This window comes from Homo sapiens, chromosome 7 (assembly GCF_000001405.40).
Source record: "Homo sapiens chromosome 7, GRCh38.p14 Primary Assembly".
In the NCBI taxonomy this organism is placed as follows: Eukaryota; Metazoa; Chordata; class Mammalia; order Primates; family Hominidae; genus Homo; species Homo sapiens.
In genome coordinates this window covers 49,911,297-49,938,931 of record NC_000007.14, presented here as the reverse complement: position 1 = coordinate 49,938,931, position 27,635 = coordinate 49,911,297, and the positions used below count along the sequence as shown (strand labels likewise).

General features: G+C 37.4%; 2 protein-coding genes across 16 annotated transcripts in view; one reads left to right on the top strand and one right to left on the bottom strand.

Annotated features, from left to right (window-relative positions):
• ZPBP (zona pellucida binding protein) overlaps positions 1 to 27,635 on the top strand; it is a 252,593-nt gene that overhangs the window by 154,315 nt on the left and 70,643 nt on the right. For 4 of the 11 annotated variants that reach the window (XM_024446645.2, NM_001159878.2, XM_011515103.2 and 1 more), the window contains one exon: positions 1,310 to 1,491. The exons of the other annotated variants lie outside the window; for them this stretch is intronic. In XM_024446645.2, coding sequence (XP_024302413.1) covers positions 1,310 to 1,404 — 95 coding nt within the window. In that variant the 3' untranslated portion in view covers positions 1,405 to 1,491. Of the gene's footprint in view, positions 1 to 1,309; positions 1,492 to 27,635 lie in introns of those variants that run through there. 11 annotated transcript variants of the gene reach the window in all.
• The window catches only part of VWC2 (von Willebrand factor C domain containing 2), a 148,568-nt gene continuing 137,659 nt past the window's right edge, over positions 16,727 to 27,635 (bottom strand). Inside the window, exons 3-5 of one of the 5 annotated variants that reach the window (XR_001744720.2) lie at positions 26,508 to 26,898; positions 17,642 to 17,820; positions 16,727 to 16,780 (exon numbers count right to left, since the gene is read on the bottom strand). Coding sequence is in view for 1 of the 5 variants with exons in the window: in NM_198570.5 (NP_940972.2) it covers positions 26,747 to 26,898 (152 nt within the window). In the remaining 4 variants the exon portion in view is untranslated. Of the gene's footprint in view, positions 16,781 to 16,981; positions 26,899 to 27,635 lie in introns of those variants that run through there. The other 4 variants (XR_001744721.2, NR_136188.1, XR_001744723.2 and 1 more) reach the window with 4 other exon arrangements.

The following is a 27,635-nucleotide window of genomic DNA, read 5'->3' as shown; positions in this document are numbered from 1 at the left end:
AAATGGTAAAATATTTCCCAATTTGGAAAAATACATTTTAAAAGTAAATGATATAAAATTTAAAATATAGTGTGAACTAGATCCAAATATTAACTTGTATCATTGAATCATGATGCTAGAAAAAGAATTTTCTTTGATGGCCCATAATAAACATTCCATAGATGTGCTATTAACATATTCTGAGATCCTTGGGCAACCACATTTGCAACAGGAAAAAGAGGAACAGAATAATCAAAGACCCCAGCCCAATTATGAGGCTTGATGGCACCACCTGATAGCCATCCCCTTATCCACAATAGAACAGGTTGGTAGAGGCAGTGTTCCTGAGTGCATAAAGTTAAGCATTTATTGAGTGCCTATGATACACTGTGTGATTTTTTAATACATTAATGTTATGAAATTGGTTATTATTGTATTGCACCTGTTTTACAAAATAAGGATAGTGGAACTAAGAGAGTTGACTGTTTTACCTAAGTTACCAAAGATAATCTGTGACAGAGATGGTATCTGACCTTGGTTTCTTTCTATTCTGTCAGGCAGTAGTAGATGTCATCATTTAATCAAATTCATGATTTCATTATCCTCATATTAGGGATGATCAAACTGAATTAAATTAGATTAATATTTTCAAAATTGCACATTTAGCAAGTGGTAGAAATAGGACTTGAAATCAGGAGATTATTAGAAAAAAATGCAGTCTCTTTCCACCTAAAATACACAGTTATGGCCATGTGTGAAGCACATTTGGTTCTTCCTGTAGTGTTGACCTCTTGTGGCTTCTGCTATATAACTTAAAGCAGGGGTCCCCAACCCCCAGGCCAGGGAACAGTACTGGTCTATGTCCTGTTAGGAACCAGACTGCAAAATAGAAGGTGAGTGGCGGGCAAGTGAGCATTATGGCCTGAGCTCTGCTTCCTGTCAGGTCATCAATGGCATTAGATTCTCATAGGAGTACCAACCCTATTGTCAACTGTGCATGCATGCAAGGGATCCAGGTTTCACGCTCCTTACAGGAATCTCAGAGTAAATAATTAAAACTTTCAGTGTATGATTCCACTTACACGAGGTATGTAGATTAGTGAAACTCATGGAAACCAAAGGTAGAATGGTGGTTGCCAACAGCTGGGGAAACAGGGAAATGGGTATAGAGTTGCAGTTTTGCAAGATGAAAAAGTTCTGCAGATTTGTTGCACAACAGTGTGAATATGCTTAATACTACTGAACTATACACTTAAAAGAATTGAGATTGGAAATTTTATATTATGTGTATTAGGAAAATACTACTTATTAACTTACTCTTTTTTCACAGTGATCTGCAGCCCTGGATCATATAACCCCCGTGATGGAATTCATTGCCTTCAATGCAATAGCAGCCTGGTGTATGGAGCAAAAACGTGCTTATAAGCCATTATCTTCAGTTATTCAGTGGTTTATTAAATGCAAAGTATATATTTGAAATATTAACATAATAAATTATTATGCCAAAATTAATCATATTTTACAAAAAAATGTGTCATCATTTTAATCAAATACTGTATGTCCAAATGTTTTATGAGGATGAAAATCCTCTAGTCTTTATCCATTAATGCCAAACCTACATATGATTCTAAAATATTTCTAGTATCACTGCATTTTAAAAATAGTTTCAAATATACTGTTTTCAGGTTAGCCCAAAAGATTTTCCAGGATTTTTCAGAAATATTCTGTTTTATCTTTACTATATGTTCACTAGATCCAGGCCACCATATTCTTGTATAATAACTTTAATTTCAGTTTGTTTCTTTCTTTTGATTTAAATTTATAGGATTTTATTCATTCTAGTTTCACCTTTCACAGTTTAAAGCCATATTTAAAGCCTGTGGTCTTATTGCAATTTTTAGCCTCTTTAATATAAGGCCTAGTTCCAACCACCCTGTGGATTTTTTAATATAGTTCAGTGTGACTATCTTAAACTTTTCAGTTTTAAGTCTCTTAAATTACCTTTTTGGCATTTTAGAATGGAGTAATTATTGTATGTGCCTAAATTAATAGTTGAACTTTCTTAGTGGAAAGAGAGAATGAAAAAAAGCAATTTCTTTCCCTGACAACCCCTCTAGAAAAAATAATCAACAATCATCACAACCTTTATTTTATTTCTTCCACTATGAAAATGAATATTATATAACAGATATTAATTACTCATACCATCACTAATACTTATCTTGTCTCACATTGGGATTTATCAAAAATTAAAAGACTTAAATTCTAGGAAAATACATGAGTAATTTAGAAAATGAGTAGTTTCTCAATTTTTCCAATTATTGTTTCATTTATATTTGTATCAGCTTTCTCTCTCCAGCATGCACTGTTTTGCTCTTCATATTTCCTCTCTTAAGACATAAACGTTTGTAAATGGCAAACATACCCTATGCTGGATCTGGGCACAAATGTGCAATACATTGGCAGGAGGACAGTTCACCTATACCTAGGATGTGTTAGACTTTTAAAAATGAACTAGTTGATAAACTAGCCTCTCATTTTTCCATGCTATGTACAAATATAACTCTAGAATTCTCACACAGACACAAAGGGAAGATAAATGACATGTGGCTCTACTTTGTTATTAGCCCTGGTAATGTTTTCTAAAAAAATTCCTTGGGTTTTCATCATTATGATGTAATTGTTTTTATACGGTTTAGAGATGTTTTTCAAGTGCCTTCTTTCCTCTAGTAAGTGACATATTCACATTACACTGTTCGGGTGAGTTACTATTCTTCCCAAAATTGCTAACACATGTATTTTGTAAAGAGTAAAAGACTTACTACATCTCCATCTCTAAAAGCAGTGTAATCTAAAGTTTCCAAATTTCTTAATTGTATAATAAATAATGGATTAGAATACATGTTCTTTCCTTTTTGTTCCTTATGTTTGCTTACTTTTTTCCTATATTTAAAATCTTTAATAATTTAACTTACAATGCATTTTTCTGAGGCATGAACAGCACCCCATCAACAGCCTGGGAAAGCAGAGGCAGAGTTGTTACGCACATGCTAAGTACTGGGGATCAGAATGCAATCACGAAGAGATATGTGACCCCAGATAAGAGGAGATGAACAACAGGAGTGGGATGAGAGCAAATCATGGATTTTTAGCTACTGGCACACCAGAATGAGACCACACAAATATCTGAAGGCAGAACAAGGTAAGACTTGTAAAGTCCAGGCAAAGAAAACAAGCTGTAGAAATTGATGCAAAGGGCCGAGCGCGGTGGCTCACGCCTGTAATCCCAGCTCTTTGGGAGGCAGAGGCTGGCGGATCACAAGGTCAGGAGTTCGAGACCAGTCTGGCCAACATGGTGAAACCCCAACTCTACTAAAAATACAAAAATTAGCCGGGCGTGGTGGTGTGTGACTGTAGTCCCAGCTACTCAGGAGGCTGAGGCAGGAGAATCGCTTGAAACCAGAAAGCGGAGTGTGCAGTGAGCTGAGATCACGCCACTGCACTCCAGGTTGGCAACAAGAGTGAAACTCCGTCTCAAAAAATAATAATATTAATAATAAATAAATAAATTGAAGTAAAGGACAAAATAGGAGAAGGAAGGAAAACATTAATTATTTCTTTTTCTTGGGTCTCATAGTAAAATGTTCTTCGTTATATCACTTATCACATTTATTTTAGTTGATTATGTTTGTCTTCAACATTCAATTATACTAGGATACTCCTAGCTTCATGGCCTTCTTCGTAGCACACAGTTATATCCTTAATAATTTTTTAAATTAATGAATAGATCATTAAAGTTCTATGAGTATAAATACTTGAGTAATTAAGACAAAAGTTGCTTCTATTAACAGGTAGGATGTGAAATGTTGGAAGTTGTTTAAAGTGATGACAGTGTGTGCAATAAAAATCATACATGAATCCCTGAGAGATTATTGTCATAAAGCAGTTTCAAGTGTTTTGTATTTATTTGCATCCAAATAATACCTTTTATATAATGCTTAAATTTTCACAAAACATTTTTTAGCAATTATATCATCTGATAATTATACCAGCCTGTGAAGTTACCAGGGCAAATATAATTCCCAGTTTTTATTTCATTAATTTAAGTTTTTCTTATTATAAATATGTAAGATGTGTTTATTTGGCAATATGGTAAAAGAGCCTTAACATGTTTGGTCCAGTAATCTCAATGGAAATTTTACTACAGAAGTAAATCAGAAATAAAGTGAAATATTACATCCAATGGTATTAATTTCTGTATTATATATAATAATGAAAAGGAAAATAATATAAATGAGTGACAATATAATTGGTTGAATAAGTTATGCTGTTTCCATTTGATTGAATATTATTGTGCCATTAAAATCACATTTACAAATTAATTAAGATTATATACACATGTGTACAATTGTTATCCATATTGTATACATTTTTAAACCAAATGCACCAAAATGTTAACAATGGTTGTTTCATGTAATGGGATCATGTGTGAGTTTTTTTTTTTTTATACCCTCTGTTTTCCAAATTTTCTGCAGTGAAATGAATTACATTCACAAGCTTGGAAGCAATAAATATACTTTGAAAAATTAAAATAGTAGCAAAGTAGAGAAGACATTGCTTATCTCTCCAATATCAATTCACTTCTCCCCTTCTTCCTAAAAAAGCACCAAGTTTGTTTACTCCAGAGAATGATTCTTTTTAGCCAGTCAGCACATAGCTTTTCTGGCCACTGCCTTGTTGTGACCATTAGGTGAACCAGCTTGAGGATGAAGCCCACAATGAGGACACACAGTGAAGATATGAAAAGAACTGGGGCATTGATGATGGTGTTGAATTACTGTCTTTATTGTGCCTGAACCCAAGCCTGTACTAGACTTCTTAGTTCTTTTTTTTTTTTTTAATTATACTTTAAGTTTTAGGGTACATGTGCACAACGTGTAGGTTTGTTACATATGTATACATGTGCCATGTTGGTGTGCGGCACCCATTAACTCGTCATTTAATATTAGGTATATCTCCTAATGCTATCCCTCCCCCCTCCCCCCAGCCCACAACAGGCCCTGGTGTGTGATGTTCCCCTTCCTGTGTCCATGTGTTCTCATTGTTCAATTCCCACCTATGAGTGAGAACATACAGTGTTTGGTTTTTTGTCCTTGCGATAGTTTGCTGAGAATGATGGTTTCCAGCTTCATCCATGTCCCTACAAAGGACATGAGCTCATCCTTTTTTATGGCTGCATAGTATTCCATGGTGTATATGTGCCACATTTTCTTAATCCAGTCTATCATTGTTGGACATTTGGGTTGGTTCCAAGTCTTTGCTATGGTAAATAGTGCCGCAATAAACATACGTTTGCATGTGTCTTTATAGCAGCATGATTTATAATCCTTTGGGTATATACCCAGTAATTGGATAGCTGGGTCAAATGGTATTTCTAGTTCTAGATCCCTGAGGAATCTCCACACTGACTTCCACAATGGTTGAACTAGTTTACAGTCCCACCAACAGTGTAAAATTGTTCCTATTTCTTAGTTCTGTCAAATAAGAAAGTTTCTTTTGTTTAAGCAAGTTAGGTTTTCTGTTACTTGCAGCTAAAAATATTCTAATTGATACAGTATTAATTACAGGAAATTTGTAAAGTAGAGGATTAGAAGTCAGGGGAAAATATCACTTATAGTTTCATAACCTAGATGTCAGCAGTGTTAACATTTTGGTAAATTTCCTACTTTAGTGTGACTTTTTTATTCATGCTATAGGTACCATATGTAGTGAGTATTTTCCTTAATATTATGATATATATATTTCCATACTATTTTATTCACTTCATTAACATAATTTTATCACTATAATATTTCATACATTTCAGCAAAAAAACTATAATATGGTCTATTAGTCTGTTCTCACACTGCTAATAAAGACATGCCCAAGACTGGGTAATTTATAAAGGAGAGGTTTGACTCACAGTTCCACATGGCTGAGGAAGCCTCACAGTCATGGCAGAAGGCAAATGAGGAGTAAAGTCACGTCTTGCATGGTGGCAGGCAAGAGAACATGAGCAGGGGAACTCCCATTTATAAAACCATCAGATCTTGTGAGGCTTACTACCAGGAGAACAGTATGGGGGAAACTGCTTCCATGATTCAATTATCCCCACCTGGCCCCACCCTTGATATGTGGGGATTATTACAATTCAAGGTGAGATTTGGGTGGGGACACAGCTAAACCATATAGTTTCACCTGTGACCCCTCCCAAATCTCATGTCCTCACATTTCAAAACCAATCATACCTTCCCAACAGTCCCCCAAGTCTTAATTCATTTCAGCATTAACTCAATCTGAGACAAGGCAAGTCCCTTCTGCCTATGAGCCTGTAAAATCAAAAGCAAGTTAGTTACTTCCTAGATACTGTGGGTACAAGCTTTGGGTAAATACGCCCATTCCTAATGGGAGAAATTGGCCAAAACGAAGGGGCTGCAGGCCCCATGCAAGTCCAAAATCCAGCAGGGCAGCCAAATCTTAAAGCTCTGAAATGATCTCCTTTGACTCCATGTCTCACATCCAGGTCATGCTGATGCAAGAGGTGGGTTCCCACAGCCTTGGGAAGCTCCACCCCTGTGGCTTTGCAGGGTACAGCTTCCCTTCTGGCTGCTTTCACAGGCTGGTGTTCTGTGGCTTTTCCAGGTGCATGGTGCAATCTGTTGGTGGTTCTACCATTCTGGGGTTGGGAGGATGGTGGCCCTCTTCTCACAGCTCCAATAGGCAGTACCCCAGTGAGGACTCCATGTGGGGGCTCCCACCTCACATTTCCCTTCCACACTGCCTTAGCAGAGGTTCTCCATGAGAACTCCACCCCTGCAGCACACCTCTGCCTGGACATCCAGGCATTTCCGTACATCCTCTGAAATCTAGGCGGAGGTTCCCAAACCTCAGTTCTTGACCTCTGTGTACCCACAGGCCCAATACCACATGTAAATTTACAAGGCTTGGGGCTTCTTCCCTCTGAAGCAGTGACCTGAGGTGTACATTGGCCCTGTTTAGCCACAGCTGGAGCTGAAGCAGCTGGAACGTGCAGGGCACCATGGCCCTAGGCTGCAGAGAGCAGGGGGGCCCTAGGCCTTGCCCACAAAACCATTTTTTCCTCCTAGGCCTCCAGGCCTGTGATGGGAGGGGCTGCTGTGAAGGTGTCTGACATGCCCTGGAGACATTATCCTATTGTCTTGGTGATTAACATTTGGCTCCTCAGTACTTATGCAAATTTCTGCAGCTGGCTTGAATTTCTCCCCAGAAAATGGGTTTTTCTTTTCTATCCCATCGTCAGGCTGCAAATTTTCCAAACTTTTATGATCTGCTTCTTCTTGAACACTTTTCTGCTTAGAAGGTTCTTCCACTGGGTACCGTAAATCATCTCTCTCAAGTTCAAAGTTCCACAGATCTCTAGGGCAGGGCAAAATGCCACCAGTCTCTTTGCATAGCAAGAGTGACTTTTACTCCAGTTTCCAACAAGCTCCTCATTTCCATTTGAGACCACCTCAACCTGGACTTCATTGTCCATATTGCTATCAGAATTTTGGGCAAAACTATTCAATACATCTCTAGAAAGTTCCAAACTTTCCCACATTTTCTTGTCTTCTTCTGAGCCCTCCAAACTGTCCCAACCTCTGCCCGTTACCTAGTTCCAAAGCTTCCACGTTTTCAGGTATCTTTTCAGCAGTGCCCCACTCCCAGTACCAATGTACTGTATTAGTCTGTTCTCATGCTGCTAATAAAGACATACCCAAGACTGGGTAATTTATAAAGGAAAGAGGCTTGATTGACTCACAGTTCCACATGGCGGGGAAGCCCTCACAATCATGACAGAAGGCAAATGAGGAGCAAAGTCACATCTTACATGGTGGCAGGCAAGAGAGCATGCGCAGCAGAGCTCTCCCTTTATAAAACCATCAGATCTTGTGAGACTTATTCATTATCATGAGAACAGCACAGGAAAAACTTGCCCCCACTATTCAATTACCTCCCACTTGGGCCCTCCCACAACATGTGGGGAATATTACAATTCAAGGTGAGATTTAAGTGGGACGTAGAGCCAAACCAAATCATATGGTTAAGCCATTCTAATTGTTGGACATTTTTATTGCTTCCAAGTTTTCACTATTATATGTTGCATTACAGTTGACATCTTTTTACTTTAGATTTTGTGGTATTTTAAAGTTTTTTTTCATGCTAAATACTCAGAAGTAGAAGTGCTAGGTTTAGGTATTTCTAATCTTCTGGACCACTTGCCAAGTGTATTTTCTAAGGATTATACCAATTTCTAGTGCCACCAATGATATATCAGAATACATATTTTATTGCATGTTCTCCAGTATCGTTTTTAAGTCATTCATTTAATGTGATATATAGAAATAGTTTCTTCCTCTATTAATTTTCATTTTTTTTGTATTAGTGAGGTTTAACTTTCCTCATGTAATAATGTTGCTGTTGCTGATGGTAGTTATTTATTGAGTGTTTATTATGTGAAAGGTTTTGTTTGAAACCCATCACATAGATTTTTATATTTAATTTGCCGGAGTTTGTGAGTTACTGTTACTCTAACTAGTACATGAGGAAAATGAGTCACAATAATTAAATACCTTCCCGGGTTTACACAGCTGGTAATGGTGAAGACGTGTGTCAGTTACAATTTGGTTTTGTGGCAAGATCCTGAGGGCCCTGATTCAGTGGTTCCCCTTAGCTGGTGCAGTGGCTCTGCAGCATCCTCCTGGCCTCGGACTACTTGTACTCTTGCCCCCAGTCCTTAGTGCAGCTTTTGTCCTCATGGTTGCAGGTGCTCTTATGCCTCCAGGCTCTTAATTGGCCTTCCATTCAGAAAGAAACATAAAAATGAAAAACCCTCTACAGGACTTTTACATTATATTGAACAGAATAGTGTCACAGGGTTACCTGATACTATAAGGGAGACTAGAAAGTGATACCTTCATTTTTAAATTCTGATTAATAGAAAAAATAATTTAAAAGGGGACAAGGACTTTGAATGAGTGTTGAACAGGCCAGTGTCTTTTTCTTATACAAATCATCTCTTTAACTTGTGTGCGTTGATACACACCCTTCACATTAGTAACATGTACATTTAATGTCCCCATTCTCCTCTGCATGTAATACAACTTCAAACTGTCATCCAGTTACTGCATCTCAGTTAATGCATGTTGAGTCACGGATGATATATAGAAGTTTACATCAGGTCTAGGGCTCATATGGTCTAGACAGTTTATCTGCCCCCACCTCATAAAATGCATGAGAAAGAATAGAGTAACTAATTTAAAACTCCCTTGCAGAAAATGGAGGAAAGCAAAACTCATCTCAGTACTTATCCAGGTGGACATGATACAGTGAGACCTTCCTGCTATCAACTTGGTTTTAGTTTGTTGGTTGGTCCCTGGTTCTATCCTGTGTGGTTGTCTTCCTTATTCCTTGCATTCCCCTTTCTGGAAGCTGCACTATATTTCATTTCACTTTCTTTGAGAAGTCAGAGGCCTAAGACACTCACAGGCTGTCATCGGCCAGATTTGGATTTTTCAGGGGCAGGACAGTTCTCTTTTGCTGGGTTGTGTTGTGTTGTATCATCCTGATCAAGCATGGTGACAAAAGATGCGGAGGTGCATCTCTCCTTCTTTCTGCATCCAGTTCATCTTCCTGTGATCCAGGGCATGTTCATATCCTTCCATGACTATGGACACATTTATCTGACTTCTTTAATCAAGAAAGAGGCTCAATGTCTAGAGTGAGGAGGACCCTCTTGATTTGGGAGTCAACATTTATTTCCATTGGGCATGCTCATTTCTTAAGTCACTGGGAAAACTGCCAATTTTGGATGAGGCTTGGAGTGGAAACTGGCTCTGCAATCATTCCAGGCCACTGTGAAAGGTGCTCTCTGCTTGGAAAATGTGACCCAGTGGTACAAGTATGCTCAGAGTGTCATAGCAGATAAAGGTGTTGTGTGGACTCTTGGACACAGTGTGTGAACCTTTGGGATGTTAGAGAAAGCCATGCTATTCTTTGTAGATAACTATTCTCCTTTTGAGAAACAGCTTTTGGATTTGTGCCGGTTCCAGTTTGGGCCAACAAGTTACTATGTAATCTGAGCTACATCATGAGGTAGGCGTTATCTAACCCACTGAGCCATGGAGTTGGGTATGCATAGCAGCACTCTTCCATCCACTGGGAATGGTGTACTGGTGTGTACAAGATTGGGCTCAAGCAGGTCCCGAGGGAGTGGTAAGTTGCACAAACAAGTGTCTCAGACCTTCATGGTTTCCGTTCCTGCCACTCCACTTCAGCCTGCACCTGTGACCTCATGGGAAGTTCTTTATAAAATCTGAGCATCAGTTATAGAGTGCTGTACATAGTATGTTGGCAGCAGCCACAAGTAGACAGCCCTACCCACAGGGGTGGTCCTGAAGGAGAGTGGGGAAGAGAAATATCAATAGATAAGGCTCTGAGAAGTACACCAGTCTGTCAACCTTGTTAAGAATGAGAGATGACTAGAAGTATGGACTGCACAGATTTTTAAGCAATAAGTCAACAATTTGGCCCACTGATCAGAGGCATAGAAGGAATAAGATTGGAAATTTGGTGACAGTGTTGTGAGAAAAGTGTATGTAACTAGATATCTCCAAACAAGCACACAGCACATAGGAATGCACACTAATGAGAAACTCAGCAAATAACCTTAGTAACCCAGTGGACAACATGACTCCTGTGGGCATTGGTCAGCCTCTTCCTTCCTTGCCAATAGGGTCATGAACAAAGTGGCCATGAAAACAAAGATGGAAGGTCTGCATGGTTACCAAGGCATAATCTAGCTACAGCTCTTCTGAGTGCCCAATTTTCTAACAGCAGAGTCTACCAAGGAGTCCCCAATATGGCAACGCTGACCAGGGAGAGAGCCAGCCACCTGGTACCAGGTTGATTACATTGGATCAAGTTCATCATGAGAGGGGCAATGCTGTGTTCATATCGAAATCTGTCACAAATTTGCTTTCCCTGACTACAGTATTTCTGCCAAAACCACCATCTGTAGACTTACTAAATAAATTTATTGCTGTCATTTTCTTCACAGCAGTGCTACTGACCAGGGAACTCATATTTAATGACATGTGGCAGTGGGCTCATACTCATGTAATTCATTGGTCGTACCACGTTCTCCATTACCTTGTAGCATCTGGGGTAATAGAATGGTGGAATGGGCTGCTGAGTACGCTTATGGTGCCAGCTGGGTGACATCACTTAGTTGAGCTAGTGTAATTTCCTCCTGGGTGTGATTTTTTTGCTCTGAATCAGCAACTAATAGCAATTTGCCAAATCACCCTCTTTGGTTCTATGGTCAATGGTGTTTTTGTGAATATTGTAAGGAGGTCATAGTGGAAGCCCCTAGAACTCTCCCTTCCAATATGACTCTAATATATGGTGCTGTTGCTTCCATGATTAAGATTCATGGGTCTCAGAATTGTGTGTGGGTTGGAGGGGTGTTGATGGAAATAGATTCTCACTACTACCCTGGATATCCACTAGCAAACATTTGCTTCCTGTCTCTGTAATTTTGGACTCTGCTAATTTGGAAGTCATACTTCCCAAGGGAGGAATGCTTCTAATAAACTGAAACCCAGGACTGCCACCTCATGTTGTTGAACCAGCTGGCACAAAATAAGTTACTGTACTGGCTGGAGTGATTGATCCTAACCATGAAGGGGAAATTGGGTTGCCATTACACAACAGAGTTGGGGAGATCCTCTGTGACATATCTGAGTACTCTCTTGTCCTGTGGTAAAAGTTAATTGAAGACTACAACACTCAATATAGGCGGGGTTGGTAATAGCACAGAATGAAGGTATGGCAGCTATGAAAATGTGGCTCTCTGACCTTCTGCTGTAAGGAGTCACTGACCAGTGGCTCCATTGCTGCACTCTGATTCCACTGTGTTTGCACTGCGTCTGTGCTTCTAGACTGAGCACAGCAGAGGCCTGCTGCCAGTCTTTCCCGGCTATGTGAGAATTTCCTGCGGCCGCTATGGCTGGAGGGCCGCTCCTCTGCAGCCAGTTGCTTCTCAAAGCTAAGTGGAGTCTAAGGCCTTCCCTCCTTCCTGCTCTCCTGCATTATTATCCAGAGGATCTCCCAGCCCCTCCTCTCTTCCTTCCCTTTTTCTCTTACAGACATTTTAAACTATAATACATCTCTTACATGTCTAATCCTATTTTTGTGACAGTTTCTCAGAGGATCCAAAGTAACCCAAGTGATGCCAGGAGCCAGAAGTGGTCTGAGAATACAGGCAGTGGGATGGGTCTCTGCGATTCATTCACTGCCCACCCCGTGGGCAAAGAGGGTACCCTTCTGAATGGCTTGTGCATGCAGGTGTTATGGCTTAGGCCTAAGAAGGAGACAAGGGTGCCACCAAGGACAGCAAAATTGGCTGACAACTGTTAAGTGAAGCAGATGCTTTGAAAAGGAATGAGAAACTGAGGGCTTTAACAAGATTGAAGACTTTGGGCAAACTTACTGCTAGAAAAAGTGATGGGCAACACAGTAAATGAGAAATGCCTAAGCTGCAGGTAGTAGAAGAAGGAATAGAGAAGCTGATGGAATTGGGAATGCTGGAGCTGATAAATTATATGAAGTTAAAATAACCCAACAGAGCATTATGTTCCACAAGAGGACTCAAGGACACACCATTCATGGCACTATCAGGGACACACTTGTTCTCTAAGCAGCACCAGCATCGCTAAACACCTAATTGGTGGGTTTTCTCTATTGGCCAGGATTGATGGGAGGAAAGGTAGAGATAGTAATGCAACAACTACAGGCAGATGGAATGCTTCACTATGGGGCACCAAGTGACTACACAGAACTGCCCATTATGCAGAGTCCACTGACCCAACAGCAGTCCATTCAGGACTGAGTCCAAGCAGGTCCTGAGGGCCCAAGTAAGCTACATTCGCTGACAGACCAAACTTCCAAATTACCCACAACAATCATACCATTTCCCTTCCCCAAGCTCAACATGAGGAAAAACCCCAAGGTTGATTTATGGGTTCTGTCAGTGGGTGAAGCCAAAATTTGATAGTGACTGCCCTATTTTAGAGGGAGATCTGAAAGACAGTGGAGAGGGGAGAATATGTGTAATTCTTTGACAGCGGCCGATGATGTGGCTGCAGCCAGGGGCCTGGAAGGAAAGACCAAAAGACTGGAGACAAGGAGGTCTGAGGCAGAGGCCTGTGGATGGATGTATGGACATGAGTGCAAAGTGTGAAGACTTTTCAGTCACATAGTTAACACTCAGCAGAAAACATGTACCTTAAAAGAGGCTCTGAACAACCAAGTAGGTAATTTTTTCCAGGTGATTGGCATTGGCCATCTTTCATCATCAGCTCCATCAGAATCCCACATAGACATATGGAGGGAGCAGCCAGGATAGAGCGATGGAGTGACATATGCACCCAATAGCATGGACACCTGCTTTCCCAGGCTTGTCTAGCTACTACCACCTCTCAATGTCTAACCTATCTGGAACAGAGGCCAACACTGGGTCCTGATGTAGCACTGTTCCCCAGGGACACCAATCATCCACTCAGTAGCAAATTAGTGCCATCTGGCCCCTGTCCACTGGTTCATCTTTACAGGGATGTATACGTACTCACTGTGTGTGTGTGCATACTATATCTGTACATACTATATCTCACCACCACCCAGAGGCTAATAGGAAGGCTGATGCCCACTCATGTAATCCTGCACAAAAGAACATATGACCAGTACTTAGACCACTTCTCAGCACAGGAGGTGGAGAAATGGACCAGATACTACCAAACAGGGGTCAGGAGTGCTGCCTGCTTTCATGCCTGGAGAGTGGATGAAGAGGCCAGCTCCTGCTGGGCCCATTCAAATCAGAGGTAGGTAGTTGTTTACCTGGAGGAGGGTGCACATAGCTAGAAAAGTTTTTTGCTGTTAGATCATCCTTTTCCTGTGCATTGGGTTTTCTTGGAGTGTTTATGGTCGGTGCCTGTTGGTGGGTCTGGGATTTATGGGAGGCAATAAGGAAGCCGTGGAACAGACTGGGGTGTCGTTCCTCAAATCCTGAAGTCCTTGGGCAGCCACCACCTTCTTTCCAACTTTCAGAGTTTTTTAATGGTTGTTTGTTGTATTATGTCAAGGGTTTTTACTAGTAAGAGGGAGAACCCAGGAGAAATGGGGCTAGTCTATCTTGACAGAACCAGAAGTCTCCCATAATATAATTTTATTATCTTCTTAACACTGCAGAGTCTCTAGTGACAGCCCCTTTTCCATTCTATTATGACTTCTCCTTTGACCTTGGCCTCCTGAGTAGCTGGGACCACAGGTGTGTACCACCTCACCCATCTTGGAATTTTGTTTCTTAATTTGCAACATATGGAGACATTTTATTTATTGATAGTTTTTCTTGTTGAGTTATAGTTTAATTGAATTATCAGGATTTATAATTCATGTGATGTCAATGCTTTATAATGAAACTTTATAGCTCAGAGTAAAGTCAATGTTTATAAATTTTCCACATGCTTGTATTTTGTAATTTTTTCATGAAGAATTATGCACCTGTTTCCTAGGTCAGCTTGGTTAATTCTGTTGTTCAGGTATTTATGTATTTTATGAACATTTTGTCTCCTGTTCATTCACTGCTACATATAAAAAATTACCCTATAAATTATGGTATGCCTCCTTGCCTTATCAAGATCTAGTACTTATTTGTGCTTTTACCATTTTATAACGTTGTTATTATTATTATTATTATTATTTATTATTATTATTTGAGACAGAGTCTCGCTCTGTCACCTAGGCTGGAGTGCAATGGCACGATCTTGGCTCACTGCAACCTCCGCCTCCCCGGTTTAAGTGATTCTTCTGCCCCAGCCTCCCAAGTAGCTGGGATTACAGGCACCTGCCATCATGCCCAGCTAATTTTTGTATTTTTGTAGAGACGGGGCTTCGCCATGTTGGCCAGGCTGGTCTTGAACTCCTGACCTCAGGTGATCCACCTGCCTTGGCCTCCCAAAGTGCTGGGATTATAGGCATGAGCCAACATGCCCGGCCTATAACCCTATTCTTTAAAAATGCAGTTTAAATAAAGATATTTTAATGAAATGAAAGCTGAAAAAATTATCACCAGTAGAAATTCACCGAAAGAAATATTAAAGAGTATTCTTCAGGCAGAGGGAAAAGGATTTACAATGAAAGGTGAAGGAAGCAATAAAAAAACAAGAAAATGGCAAATGTGGGGATGTGGCTAAATGAATAATGACTATTAGAAGAAGAAGAAGAAGTTTTCATATTTAAAACACACAGAATTAAGATAGAGCAAAACAGTAGACACGGTGAGGGAATAGTTAATACATTGTCTATAAAAATGATAAAAGCACCAATAAGTATTAGGTCTTAATAAGTCACAGCTGTATACTATATAGGGCATTAATTATATGTATGGAATTCTAAATTGGCAGTTCTTTTCATTCAGCATATTAAAGATGTTTAACTGCCTTCAGAATTCCTTTTCTTATCCAAAGATAAGAATATTAAACATGCATCAAACATTCACAATTGTCATAATTCTTTTTTACATGGAATCTGTTTCCTCTGGCTGCCTTTATGATTCTCATTTTTTCTTCCTTTCACTGTAGTGCTGCTACTTGGGAATTCTTTGTTTTATCGTCTGTCATCAACTTTAGAAGGCCATCAGCCATTTTCTTCCTAACCATTGTTTTTCTGTTCCATCCTATCCTTTTTTGCCTTTTGGAACTTCAACTTAGTATCTGCTACATTCTTTACCTCTTCTGCATTTTCTATCTGTACTTCTTTGCATTTGATCTGTCTTCAGATTCACTCTTTTCTCTTAAGTTGTTTCTAATCTGTTAAATCCAGTCAACTAAGTCTTTAATTTCAGTTATTACATTTTGCAGTTCAAAAAATCTTTTTTTGGTTCTTTTCAATTTTGCTAGGTCAGTTTAGGTTTCTAATCCTCTGCTGAAATTTCCAATTTTGTCCTATAGTCTTTGAATATAGATTTATTTTATATCTGGGTCTGATTATTCCATCATTAGGAGACTGTGATTCTGAACCTATTGTTGTTTCTGCTCCATTGTATTTGTGTAGCCTCAGATCAGCTCTGCACCTTGAATGCAGCCCAGTGGAGCTACAAACACATATAGGGAGGTTACCCGCCTTTGTATACCCAGACTCTAAATTTTGCTCCATTTTTTCCATGAAATGTCAAAAAGTGCTATTCAACTTCTCAGCATGCTATTCCAATAGGAAATGTACTCAGGGAAAAATGCTCAGAATGCCAGACTAAACTCTAATTTGGGCTTTTCCAGCCGTTGGTCTGGTAGGTTTTCCTAAGTATTTAGTTCTCCACTGGCTTCAGGAAGAACTGTCTATTCTGCCCAGATTTTCCAGTTGCCCTTGGCAGAAGGATTGTTCTAAATTGCCTAATCTTCCAGTTCCGGAATGGGAAGTTCGTAGCCTTAAGAAAAAATACTTTTTGGTTTTAATTTATTTTTTAAAAAGCCTTTCTCCAAGCCAGCGCAGAGGAGCCTCTAGAGTGTTTCCATTAAAAAAAGAAATCTGAATCTAAGATATTTACTTACTGTTAGTCCATATTTCTCGATATGAGGTTTCATAATCATTACATTTACTTTTAGAAATGACAAAGCAGAAATGTATTATCACAGTCAATTCCGTGGGATATTATATTATAGATGCTACTTCAGGGTACAGCAGTGTCCATCTTTCATTAAATAAGAGAAATAAAAGTTACATATTTGAGTGAGCCTCAAGGATTATATTTTAAATAACTCAAAATATTTAAAGCATTTTAAGTATTTTTAATGACGTATATACATTTTATTTATCTTGCTTAATCTACTTTCAAAAGCTAAAATATTTCAAAGGATTATCTTAAATGTGACTCTACCTGGAAGTGCAAAACTCAGTTTAATAAATACTTTATTTTATAAATCAGGTCAATACACATACCCATCCAACAATACATACAAATTCGGCCTAATTATTTAAATTCAACTCCACATAAAATTAAGGTATTACAAAACATTTTTCTGGTAAATATATATATAAATGGGATAAAAACTAAGATATAAATTATATGTGTTAAATGTAAACATGAGGATAAAATATTTTTCAAATGAGCACTAAATTAAATTATTCATTTATTAGAATCTTCAAAATGTTCAAGTCTCATATTCCAATGTATTATGTTATAAACACTTTACATAGATCTTGTGCTTTATAAATATCTATTCTAGGCTACGTGTTTTACAAATATTCACTCATTTAATCCTCTTAGTGGTTGATACCACTCTCCCCATGTTACTGATGAGCAATCTGAGTTACAGAGAGGTAGGTAACGTGTACCTGATAAATAACCAGTAAGTGGTAGAACTGGGATTAGAATCAGACCTCCAAAGGCCAAAGTCTTTACTGCCAAGTTACATTAAAGCAAATAAATTGCAAACGTTTATTGAGAATACTTATGATATAAATGTTAAAAGGATGCTCTGGCCTTTGTTTCTAGAGACTATGTCTCTATAGCTATGGAGTAAGGCTCAGGCCAGGGATGGGAACAACTCACCTATGCCTTTTAACTCCTATCATCTCTGCTGGAAACCAGACCCATCCTCCAGCCAGCATGTTCTCACCCTGGTTTCCTGAAAGCATCATGGGCATTCCCTTTTGATCAGTTTGCTCTCCTCTTTTCCCCTCACTTGAATTCCCTTTGGTATCTTCAACACTAAGCACAGTGTTCTCCATCTGTCAGATATGCAGGAAAGGTGGTGACTGATGATTTATTAGTGGTTACAGTTGTTAGGTAAAATTGATGTTGTTTAATAAATTTGTACAGGACATGAACACTTACTGGAAAACTTTCACCAAATAATTTATAAAAGCATATCATTATTCTCAGTCTATAGAAACTGTCAGAAATTCATAAATGTAATAAGTACAACATTTTAGTACATTTCCCCTATAACAGTCTATTAGAAATGAAGACAAAAAGCTATAATTTTACATTCATCAGGTACCTTGTAAAGCATCACACAGACTTGGTAAATGATGTTATTTAAAATGACTTTTTTTTTAAGTTTTCAAATACTGAGTTTATGGAATAAGTATTTAAAATTATTTTAAACAATTCAAATTATAAATAGTAAATAACACAATTAAATACATATGTGTTTTATTCATGCTATATTTATAGCTATGTGCAAATAGTTGTGAACTTTATGTAGCCGTATTGACATAGACAAATGAGAATAGCAAACTCGGCCAAGCAGAGTCTCTCTCTGTTCCCTTACATCCTTCACTGCTTAGGTCCAGCTTTCCGTGGACTTAAGTCTGACTTAAAAGGAATTTCTTGCCAACAATGCAGTGCTTCTCTTGTCTTTTGTTTGTTTTGTTTTGTTTTAATCAGACCCTTGCTTATATTTATATCCACCTTTCCTATCACAGCAAATTGAGAGAGTAACTGTTTAACCATTTGTATAGATGCATGCATGTATAGAAAGATGACCTTCCAGCTGGAAAATTTACATCATTCTGAGGAATAAATTTAAAGGAAAATTATCTCATCCAAATACCACTTTTATTATTTTCATTTTTTCCTTAAGAAAAGGATTCATCGTGTATTAAAATGTTTGAGTTTTTTAGTCATACTTCTTAATATTTTAAATGTTTCAGACAAACCTCTGTTTTGCTCTATATTGCTCTGTTCCATTTTGCTTCCATATCCAAATTAATGTCTCCTTTTATTTTCTCTCCTGGTTATTATAATAACATGATTTGTCCTCTGAAATGTAGGTATGCTGTTTATTGTACCAAAAAAAAACACCATTATGTTTATTTTAAAGACATTTACTTTCTTGGCTTCAATAGAAGGCACAATTTTGAATCTCACTTCAGTGTTATTTGTAACAAATATTTTAAGGTATCAGTTGGCCATAATTAATCTAAAACCTACAAAAACATATATAGAACATAATGATTTTTGTATCAAGCTCCTTTATTGCACTGATGCCTATCTTAAAATGAAAATCTTTTTCTTGAGAGAAAACAGTCAGAGCAGGTGGGAGCAATAGATAGACCTGGCCGGTGGCAGCTGAGCCCCCTGGGGATGAGTGGGACTACCTCTGTCCACCCACAACCTTCACCATTGCTGTTATTGTTTGGAGTGGGGACAATCTTTGTTTTTGTTTTAAGAAATAGCATACACCTTGAAACTACAGATTTAACATTATGTAACATGGGTAGATTATTTTTATAATTAATCTATATTAAATTAAATTGGGGTTTGTGAGGATTTTTTATTTAATCCTCACAATAAACCAGGGTATACTGCAGAGTATAACTAGCCCAAGCAGGCACTTAGTTTTTTATGTCATTGGAACATACAATGGTAACTTCATAATTTTATCACTAGCTAGCTACTATGTATCAGAAAATGGCAAAATTTTGCTTAAAAGTATAAATCATAATACTGATGTAAGTTTATGACTTTAATGCAAAAGTTCAAAATGGCATGTGATGCCATCGCTTTTTTTATTAGTTTAAGGATATCTGCTGGTATCCTTGACTCAGAGCTTCATGGGTCCAAAGACCATATATGACTCTATCACCCAGGTCTAAATTGCAGTTGACACATAGAATGCAATGAATAAATCGATTCAGTAAGACTCACAGCTGCTCCCCAGGGAAGAATATTTGGAAGCAGGTAGAGCTATCCATTCCAGTCCTGACTGTGCCCCATGTAGGATAGCTTTGGAACCAGACAGATTTGGCCTCAGTTCCATCACTGATTTTTTTTTTTTTTTTAAACAGAGTCTTGCTCTGTTACCCAGGCTGGAGTGCAGTGACGCGATCTCGGCTCAAGCAACCTCCACCCCCTCGGTTTAAGGGATTCTCCTGCCTCAGCCTCCCGAGTAGATTACAGGCATGTGCCACCATGCCCAGGTAATTTTTTTGTATTTTTAGTAGAGATGGGGTTTCACATGTTGGTCAGGTTGGCCTCAAACTCCTGATCCACCTGCCTCAGCCTCCCAAAGTGCTGGGATTATAGGCGTGAGCCACCACGCCCAGCCCATCACTGAAATTTGGATAAGTTACCCACCATATGTTGACTTCTTCATCAATATAGCAGAGTTGATAAAATGAATAAATCAGATAAAAGAATATGAAATTTGAAATTGTAGTGTTTGCCCTATAATCATCACCTAATAAATGGCAGTTTACTTCTCTTGGCTCCAGAAAAACTGGGTCACAATATTTGGTTATATTTTGTAAATTTCAATATGAGAATCATACCTGAACAACCTGATGCTTCAATACTATTTTTAAAAAGAGATCTCTAGATTTAGGAAACAAAATATAGCATAAGCATTTAGACTAGGGAGGCTACAACATTTTTGTGACGAGCTACTATTTACTTTGACAAGTATCAAGATTGATATTCTAGAATTAGGGATCAGTGTTGCTATTCATTATCTTATTTATGGGGAGTGGGGTAAAAGACCATTTTGGAAATTTCTGTCTATTTTCTAGAGGTCCCTGACCTAAACACAAATGATAAGACTTCAAATCACGGGCTCTGATATAAAGCAGATTTGGATTCTTAACTCAGCCTCTCATTCACTAGACTGAATCTTAAGGCAGTTTTTAAATTTCCCTGAGCCTATATTTACTTTTCTGCAACAAAGGGGATAGCATTACCCACAATTTGGGAGAACTGTGAGGTTAAATGTGATAATAAGTGAAGGAAACCTAGCATAACTTTTGGCCGATGATATACATTCACCGACTGCTTAAGAATGGCTTTTTAAAACTATGAAACTACTTGGTAGTATAAAGAACATTAATAGTTTCATAGGTGTATATTACTTACTGGATACTTTTCACTTTTTTCCATTATAAGAATTATATGCTTAGGAAAAGAATAAACCCTGAAAACTAATAGAAATGAAAATAGAATTGTATTTATTTGACAATGTAAATATAAAAGTAAAGGGAATGGAAAAATGAAATCTTTCCATAAAATGTGTTTGGAAACAGTTCTTTCTAAAACATAAATTACAGAAATTCAAATAATAGAAAATATTAATCATTAAATAAAATAATGATCATTAAATATTAATCATCTAAATACACTTTAATGTATATGTTGGTCTTAATATAATTAGATACCAAATAAAATTGAGAAATATTTCTACTTGCTGAAAATTGAATTAAAAACTAAAGTCGCAATATTTGCAATTGTGTTTAGTCATCAGGCTGTATTCATAATATACTAAATTGACTTTAGGTACATACTTTGATTGCTTTTGATAATTCTGTGCCTATATAATAGGTCAGCCAGAGGTTTTATGTACTTTTCTGAACTTTAAAGGAAAGAGTTAAACAGTATGCACGTCTTAAATCATAAACTGCTCATGGGCCAAGCACTGAGAGCACATTTTCATTTAAGTTTCCTAATTCTATTGAAACTTTGGCTGAATACTTTTCAGGGTGATTGTCAGTGTCACTTAATATTCAATGGGATTTGTTCATTTAAAAATTAGCCAAATCTTTGTGTTAAGGCTAGAATAGCAGGTGCTTTGCAAAATTTAAAGTGAAATTTGACACTACAGTAAAATTTCAACAACCATCACTTTTAAATGGTTATCATTCAGATTATGGAAGCTACTATATTTCTGTACAAATGACTCAGCTCATTATTGTATCAGTTCACTAGATACCTACTGAGGTGTTTAATTATGTTATGTAGAAAGATTAAAACACACAGAAATGATCAATATCACAAATGAAAGTCTAAGAAAATTGTTTTCCAAAAATTAGAAATAAGAAAGTAAACAAATATCAAAACTGTAAACTTGACTTCCTTTATCATAAAGGGCCAGTGTCTCTTCAATACAATCAACTTTCTTCAGCATCAAAAATTTCACACTAAAAGCAATTTTTTTCTGACTTGCACCAGAAATGGCCAATAGCTGTCAGAGTTCATCCGAAAACTACCATGGGGTATTTGGGGTATTTGATGTGTCTCTGGGTTCTGTGACTTAGATATTTGATACTTGTAAGTTGACAGAGAAATCAAAAGACAACTGGGTTGGCAAACAGTAATGGGAGTTTTTAGTTGCTCTTTAATACATACATTGTCCTTAAACAAGAATAGCAAATAACTCTGAACTAATAGATGGAATACAATTCAACAAGCCTTTAACATATAGATATTGGGTGATGTTTTGGGAATTGAATATTTCACAGCCCAAACTAAAGGGATTTGTAAATAATAGAAGAAGCAGGCATAAAATTAACCATTATGCAAACTATGGTATGATTCCTAAATGATATGTTAAAATAAGAAACCAAATTAGTACTATTACTGGGACATAGAGTGACAATTCTTCCAATAAGAACTACAGAAGCCTTACCAGCAATGGCACTTGAACTGGACATTGAAAATGGCTAATACTCAACATGCTGCAAAGGACACTCAGGGCAGGATCTGAGATAGTAAAGACCATGTTTAGAGTATAGTCTGTGGTACCCAGGGCCCAGAAGTCTCACCAGCCACAGGGGCCTGGGTCATGGTGTTGTCCATGATCTAATTGTGAAGACACCAGTCTTCCATGTTGAGGAGTTTGGATGTTATTTTGTGTGTGATTGCGATCCTCAAAGAATTCAGTTGAAAACTAGATCTACATTTAGAAAACTAAAATAATAGACTGAAGAAGTTGGTGTGAAGTGAGGATATGACATAAGTAGGCTGTTTAATCTGTGCTACGGAGCAATGAGAACCTGATCTTTGGAAGTTGCAGCTGAAATGTGAAAAATATGTACTGTAAAAATGCACTTATTCCTGAATAAGTAAATTGTTCTCTCTTAATCTGATTCTTCAGAATAGTTACTGACTGTATCAACCATCAGATGCTACTAGTGAGGAAAAAAAATATAGTAGGTAAGTAGGTTCAGTAAGACAGTTACAAATTATGTTGGCCAAAGAAGCATGTATGTTTTTACCAATGATGCTTATTTGTACATCTGATACTCTTCATAATAACATTATGTTGGGGAAAAATATGATATTAAAAATAACAATGAAAAGTAGGATTGATCTCTTGCCCATTGAAGCAAATTTAGCAAATTGTTAATATTTTTAAAATCATAGTTTATGTCTATAATTTTGTTTTCTACATGTTTAAATAGTCCACATTTAAAATAATGGATTTAGTTTCCAACAATGCTTGTTTGAAACAGTGTATATTTTGTAAGTTTCAGATAATGTATACATTTAAAAACCCATTTCACTGCTTAAAAACAAAAATTAAACATCTGAATTTTATGATTTTTTAGGACTTTTAACCTTATATAAATGCAACATTTATGTTGGAGAACGAGGGAAGAAAGTTTATTAAACATATTATTGATGTTATGAACTTAAAACTGCATGATAATTCTTCTTAGCATGTTTTACTGCACAAAGCAGGTGATGAAATTCTAAGTATCAAAAGATTAAAAGTATTATAATCAAACCTAAATTAGTTTCAAGGCTTACAGACCCCTTGATGTCAAGGACACTGTGCCTCTCCATCTGCACTAGCTGCAACATTATAGCAGGACTTGCCTGGACTGGAGTGCATCTAATACTTCTTGCATGCAGGGATGAAATACAAGTTTTTGAAATGACTTTTCTCAAGACTTCTGGGAAATGTCAATAAAAAGTATTGTTAATCCACCCAACAAGTAAATATCCTATCACTGAAAGAATGAATTTAACTTGAAAACCTCTAAGACATCAGATAATTTCCAGAACCATTCTATTGCTTACATAAGTAGCTTTATACTTTCAGATCTAAATATGGGTTGAAAATTTGAAATAAATTCATTAATACATTTGTAAGCACGATTTAGTTTATTAACTTGAACAAATCATTTAACAATTATTAGGTACTTATAGAGCAGGCCTATTTGAATTTTAGTGATTATGGCTTTTCCAGAACTTCTATACTTGAATTCTGAGGCCCCCTTTTCTGTGCTATCTCCAAACCATATTATTTTGAAATTGAGTAACTTATACTTTCCTTTTTTATTGGGCAGTTATTCAGGTTATTTATTGAATAGAACAGTTTGTTGTTGACAATCTCAGCAAAGAGTTCTCTGACAACAGAGGGGAGGAAAATAGAATGTCAATCTGAGATAGCTATGTATTTGTGAAAGTCTAACTGCAAGAAGAAGTTGATCTTGGACAAAAATGCAAATAATGCCATTATTATTAATGAGTATATACAGTGTCAAAAATCCAAGTTCTTCCATGTGTTTGGTTTATGCATTATTTCTATGAGGAGAGAGGAATGAGGGGGTTGAAATCAGAGATGGGGAGGGGAGTTACTTTGGTGTAATAACAGCCATTGAGCTTTAGCTCTTAGGAGTGTGTGCTGGTGACCCTGCAGGTCAAACTAAGTTTAGAGCAAGTGAGTCAGTTAACTTCCCAAGATGATACTGGGTTCATTCTCTCTATATGCAACAAAATACTAGGTTTTCTGAAATTCTCACAGCATTGAAAACACCATTGCAATTATTTCAGAGCTCATCATCCATTCTGGTAGGAATTATTATTAAGGGAAACAGGAAGACTTTGAGCTGCATGGACTGAGTCTCTAACTGCATCATGCCTGATGGAGAGAGAAGAGGTTACTAATGGCCCACCTACCCATGGGGGCTAGGGCCATTTATTAGCAAAACGACAACTTTAAATAACTGTGTCTCAAACAATCCATCCTTGAATAAAGGAGGGATGGCCAATGTCTACCAGTCTTTAATACAAAGGTTAAATTTTGGAAAGCTGATTACACCTGAGAACAATTAGCTAATAATTCCCCTGAGTATTTTCATGAAATCTATGTACTGGTAGTTCCTTTGGCTCAAGGTGTTCTTTATGAACAAGACAAAAATTAAATGACTATATGTAGTGTTTTGATGACTCAGTCAGTGGCATCTTTATACTTACTAAGGTTCACAATAGTTTAATTTTTCAATTATGATAGATGTATCCATTTTTCTTGAATGTTATTCAGTCTTTAATGATTGAATTATTTTTTATATAATGATTTTTTCATGTTCTCCATCTTCTCATTAGGAAGGCTTTCTAATCTCCATTTGCTGGTCTCTAGTTTGGCTCCTAATACAATACATTATGATTTCATATACTTCTTATGCCAGAGACCGAAAGTCCAAGAAGGCAAGAAATCAAGCCTTATTCCCTTGTTGTCAATGCTTTGTACTTAATAGGTTCTTAATGCAAAATTTCAGAATAAACAAAAATATGAAAAATACCTTTAGAGGCTTCAAATAATGATTATATATATTTTAATCCTTTAAAGACATTAATAGTGATTATAGTTTTGCTTTTTTTATCCTACACCTATTAAGACTCCAATTACCTCTTTCATCAACACACCGCATGCTGATATGATTGATAAAGGTAGAACTATTTTCTATTATGCATTAATTAGATTAGCAGGACTTTGCAGTGGCTTTTTATGTTCTCTGTTCAAATGAAGAGAAAAGAAGTTGGTTTGGAATTATAACTATAGGAAAGTTGTGGAGTGCACTTGGTCTTCAGCTTTGTTTTAACAAAATAACTGCTTCCTCACTCTGCTTGTGAAGGGTGGCTAATTCAAGGTTATCAGTCAAGATTTTACTGTGTAGTTTATGGAGGATAGATGACTCAAGTCTGATGACAAATATGATTCCACTGAACTGACAGCTGAGTTATCTGTAGCACATTTAGATTTCAGGTATATAAACTTGTTTAGGAGTTTGATTTTCCTTAACTATCCTAGGAGAATCGAAGGACTCCTCCCCTATTTTGTTGTCTGCTTCAGCTTGATGGAACAGTAATGCAAATTTTCCAGCCTACTTTATTCCTCAGTTTAGGGAATGAATTAAAGTTATCCTTAGAAGAGAAAATAATGTAAATAAGAATGAAATATATGTATGTGCTTACCTATGGTGTACAATACAGGAGCTTAGGGGAAAGAACTGAGAAAGTGTGAGTTAGTGATCTTTACACCTGCATTTCACAAGTGACTGAGAATGAAGCAGATAAAAGCCATATATTATTATAAAAAGGAAATATATTTATGTGAAGTAGACATCAACATTAGAGATATGTCTGTAATTAAATAGAATTTAAACAGGGTTTCAGTGGAAATTGGTCCTAATATCTTATGATCCATTCATGCGTGACTCTGCCCTGTGAAAATGTGCAGGGGGAACATTCCTGGGTGATGGAATCAGAACTGAAAAAGATATGCAGGTACACGGTGAGGACGGTTGACAACACAGCATTTTTAATCTGCATCTATAGAAAACACTTATATAAGCTCTCTAATGGAGGGATTATAGAAATACATTTGATATATAATAGTGTACTTTTGTGTACTTACTGTGAAAATAGCACATTTATTTAGAGAAGGATTTTATGCCCAAAGTTCTTGTTGATGTTTTGAAATATATCCATTTCCTTCTGTTGTAGTAACTGTTATCAAGAAAAGGAAAAGTACCAACAATTTTCCATTATTCCTCATCAAAAGTCTTCTTTGACTGATAGTTCCCAGAGTCATCTAGAATGTTCACATCAGTAAAATGTTCTAGAAAAAGTCAGAGTTTGTGTTCTGGGAAGCGTCTACATTTGCCTGCATTCATGTCTCGTGCACATGGCCTGCCGCTCGATTCTCCATGTGCCTTCCTCATAAGTACAGTGGCATATGGTGCACTCGTCAGTCTTCACTTCTCTGCCAGCAGGGATCACCGCGGTTTCTGCAAAGCAGTTTGGACCTGAAATGCAGAAAAATGTTTTATACTATATGTGTGCATAAATATATAATATATATAATTAGGTATTAAGCATTACAGTATATATATGTGTGTGTGTGTGTGTGTGTGTGCGTGTATTTGTTTGTTTGTTTGTTTTTGAGACAGAGTCTTGCTCTATCACCCAGGCTGGAGTGCAGTGGCACGATCTCGGCTCACTGCAACTTCTGCCTCCCGGATTCAGGCAATTCTCCTGCCTCAGCCTTTCAAGTAGCTAGGATTACAGGGGCATGCCACTATACCCAGCTAGTTTTTGTAATTTTTGTAGAAATGGGGTTTAACAATGTTGGCCAGGCTGGTCTTGAACTCCTGACTTCAAGTGATCCACCCACCTTGGCTTCCCAAAGTGCTCAGATTACAGGCATGAGCCACTGCACCCGGCCAATGGTACATATTTTATTCAGTTTCTTTTATGAAGGACAGTGGCAAAGTTATAATTTCAGTAATAATGAAATACTCTACTTTTGTTCTGAAATGAAACCAATGCCATTTAATTTTTTTTTTTTTTTTTTTTTTTGAGACAGAGTCTTGCTCTGTCACCAGGCTGGAGTGCAGTGGCACGATCTCGGCTCACTGCAACCTCTGCCTCCGGGGTTCAAGCGATTCTCCTGCCGCAGCCTCCAGAGTAGCTGGGACTATAGGGGCGTGCCACCACACCCAGCTAATTTTTGTATTTTTAGTAGAGATTGGGTTTCACCATG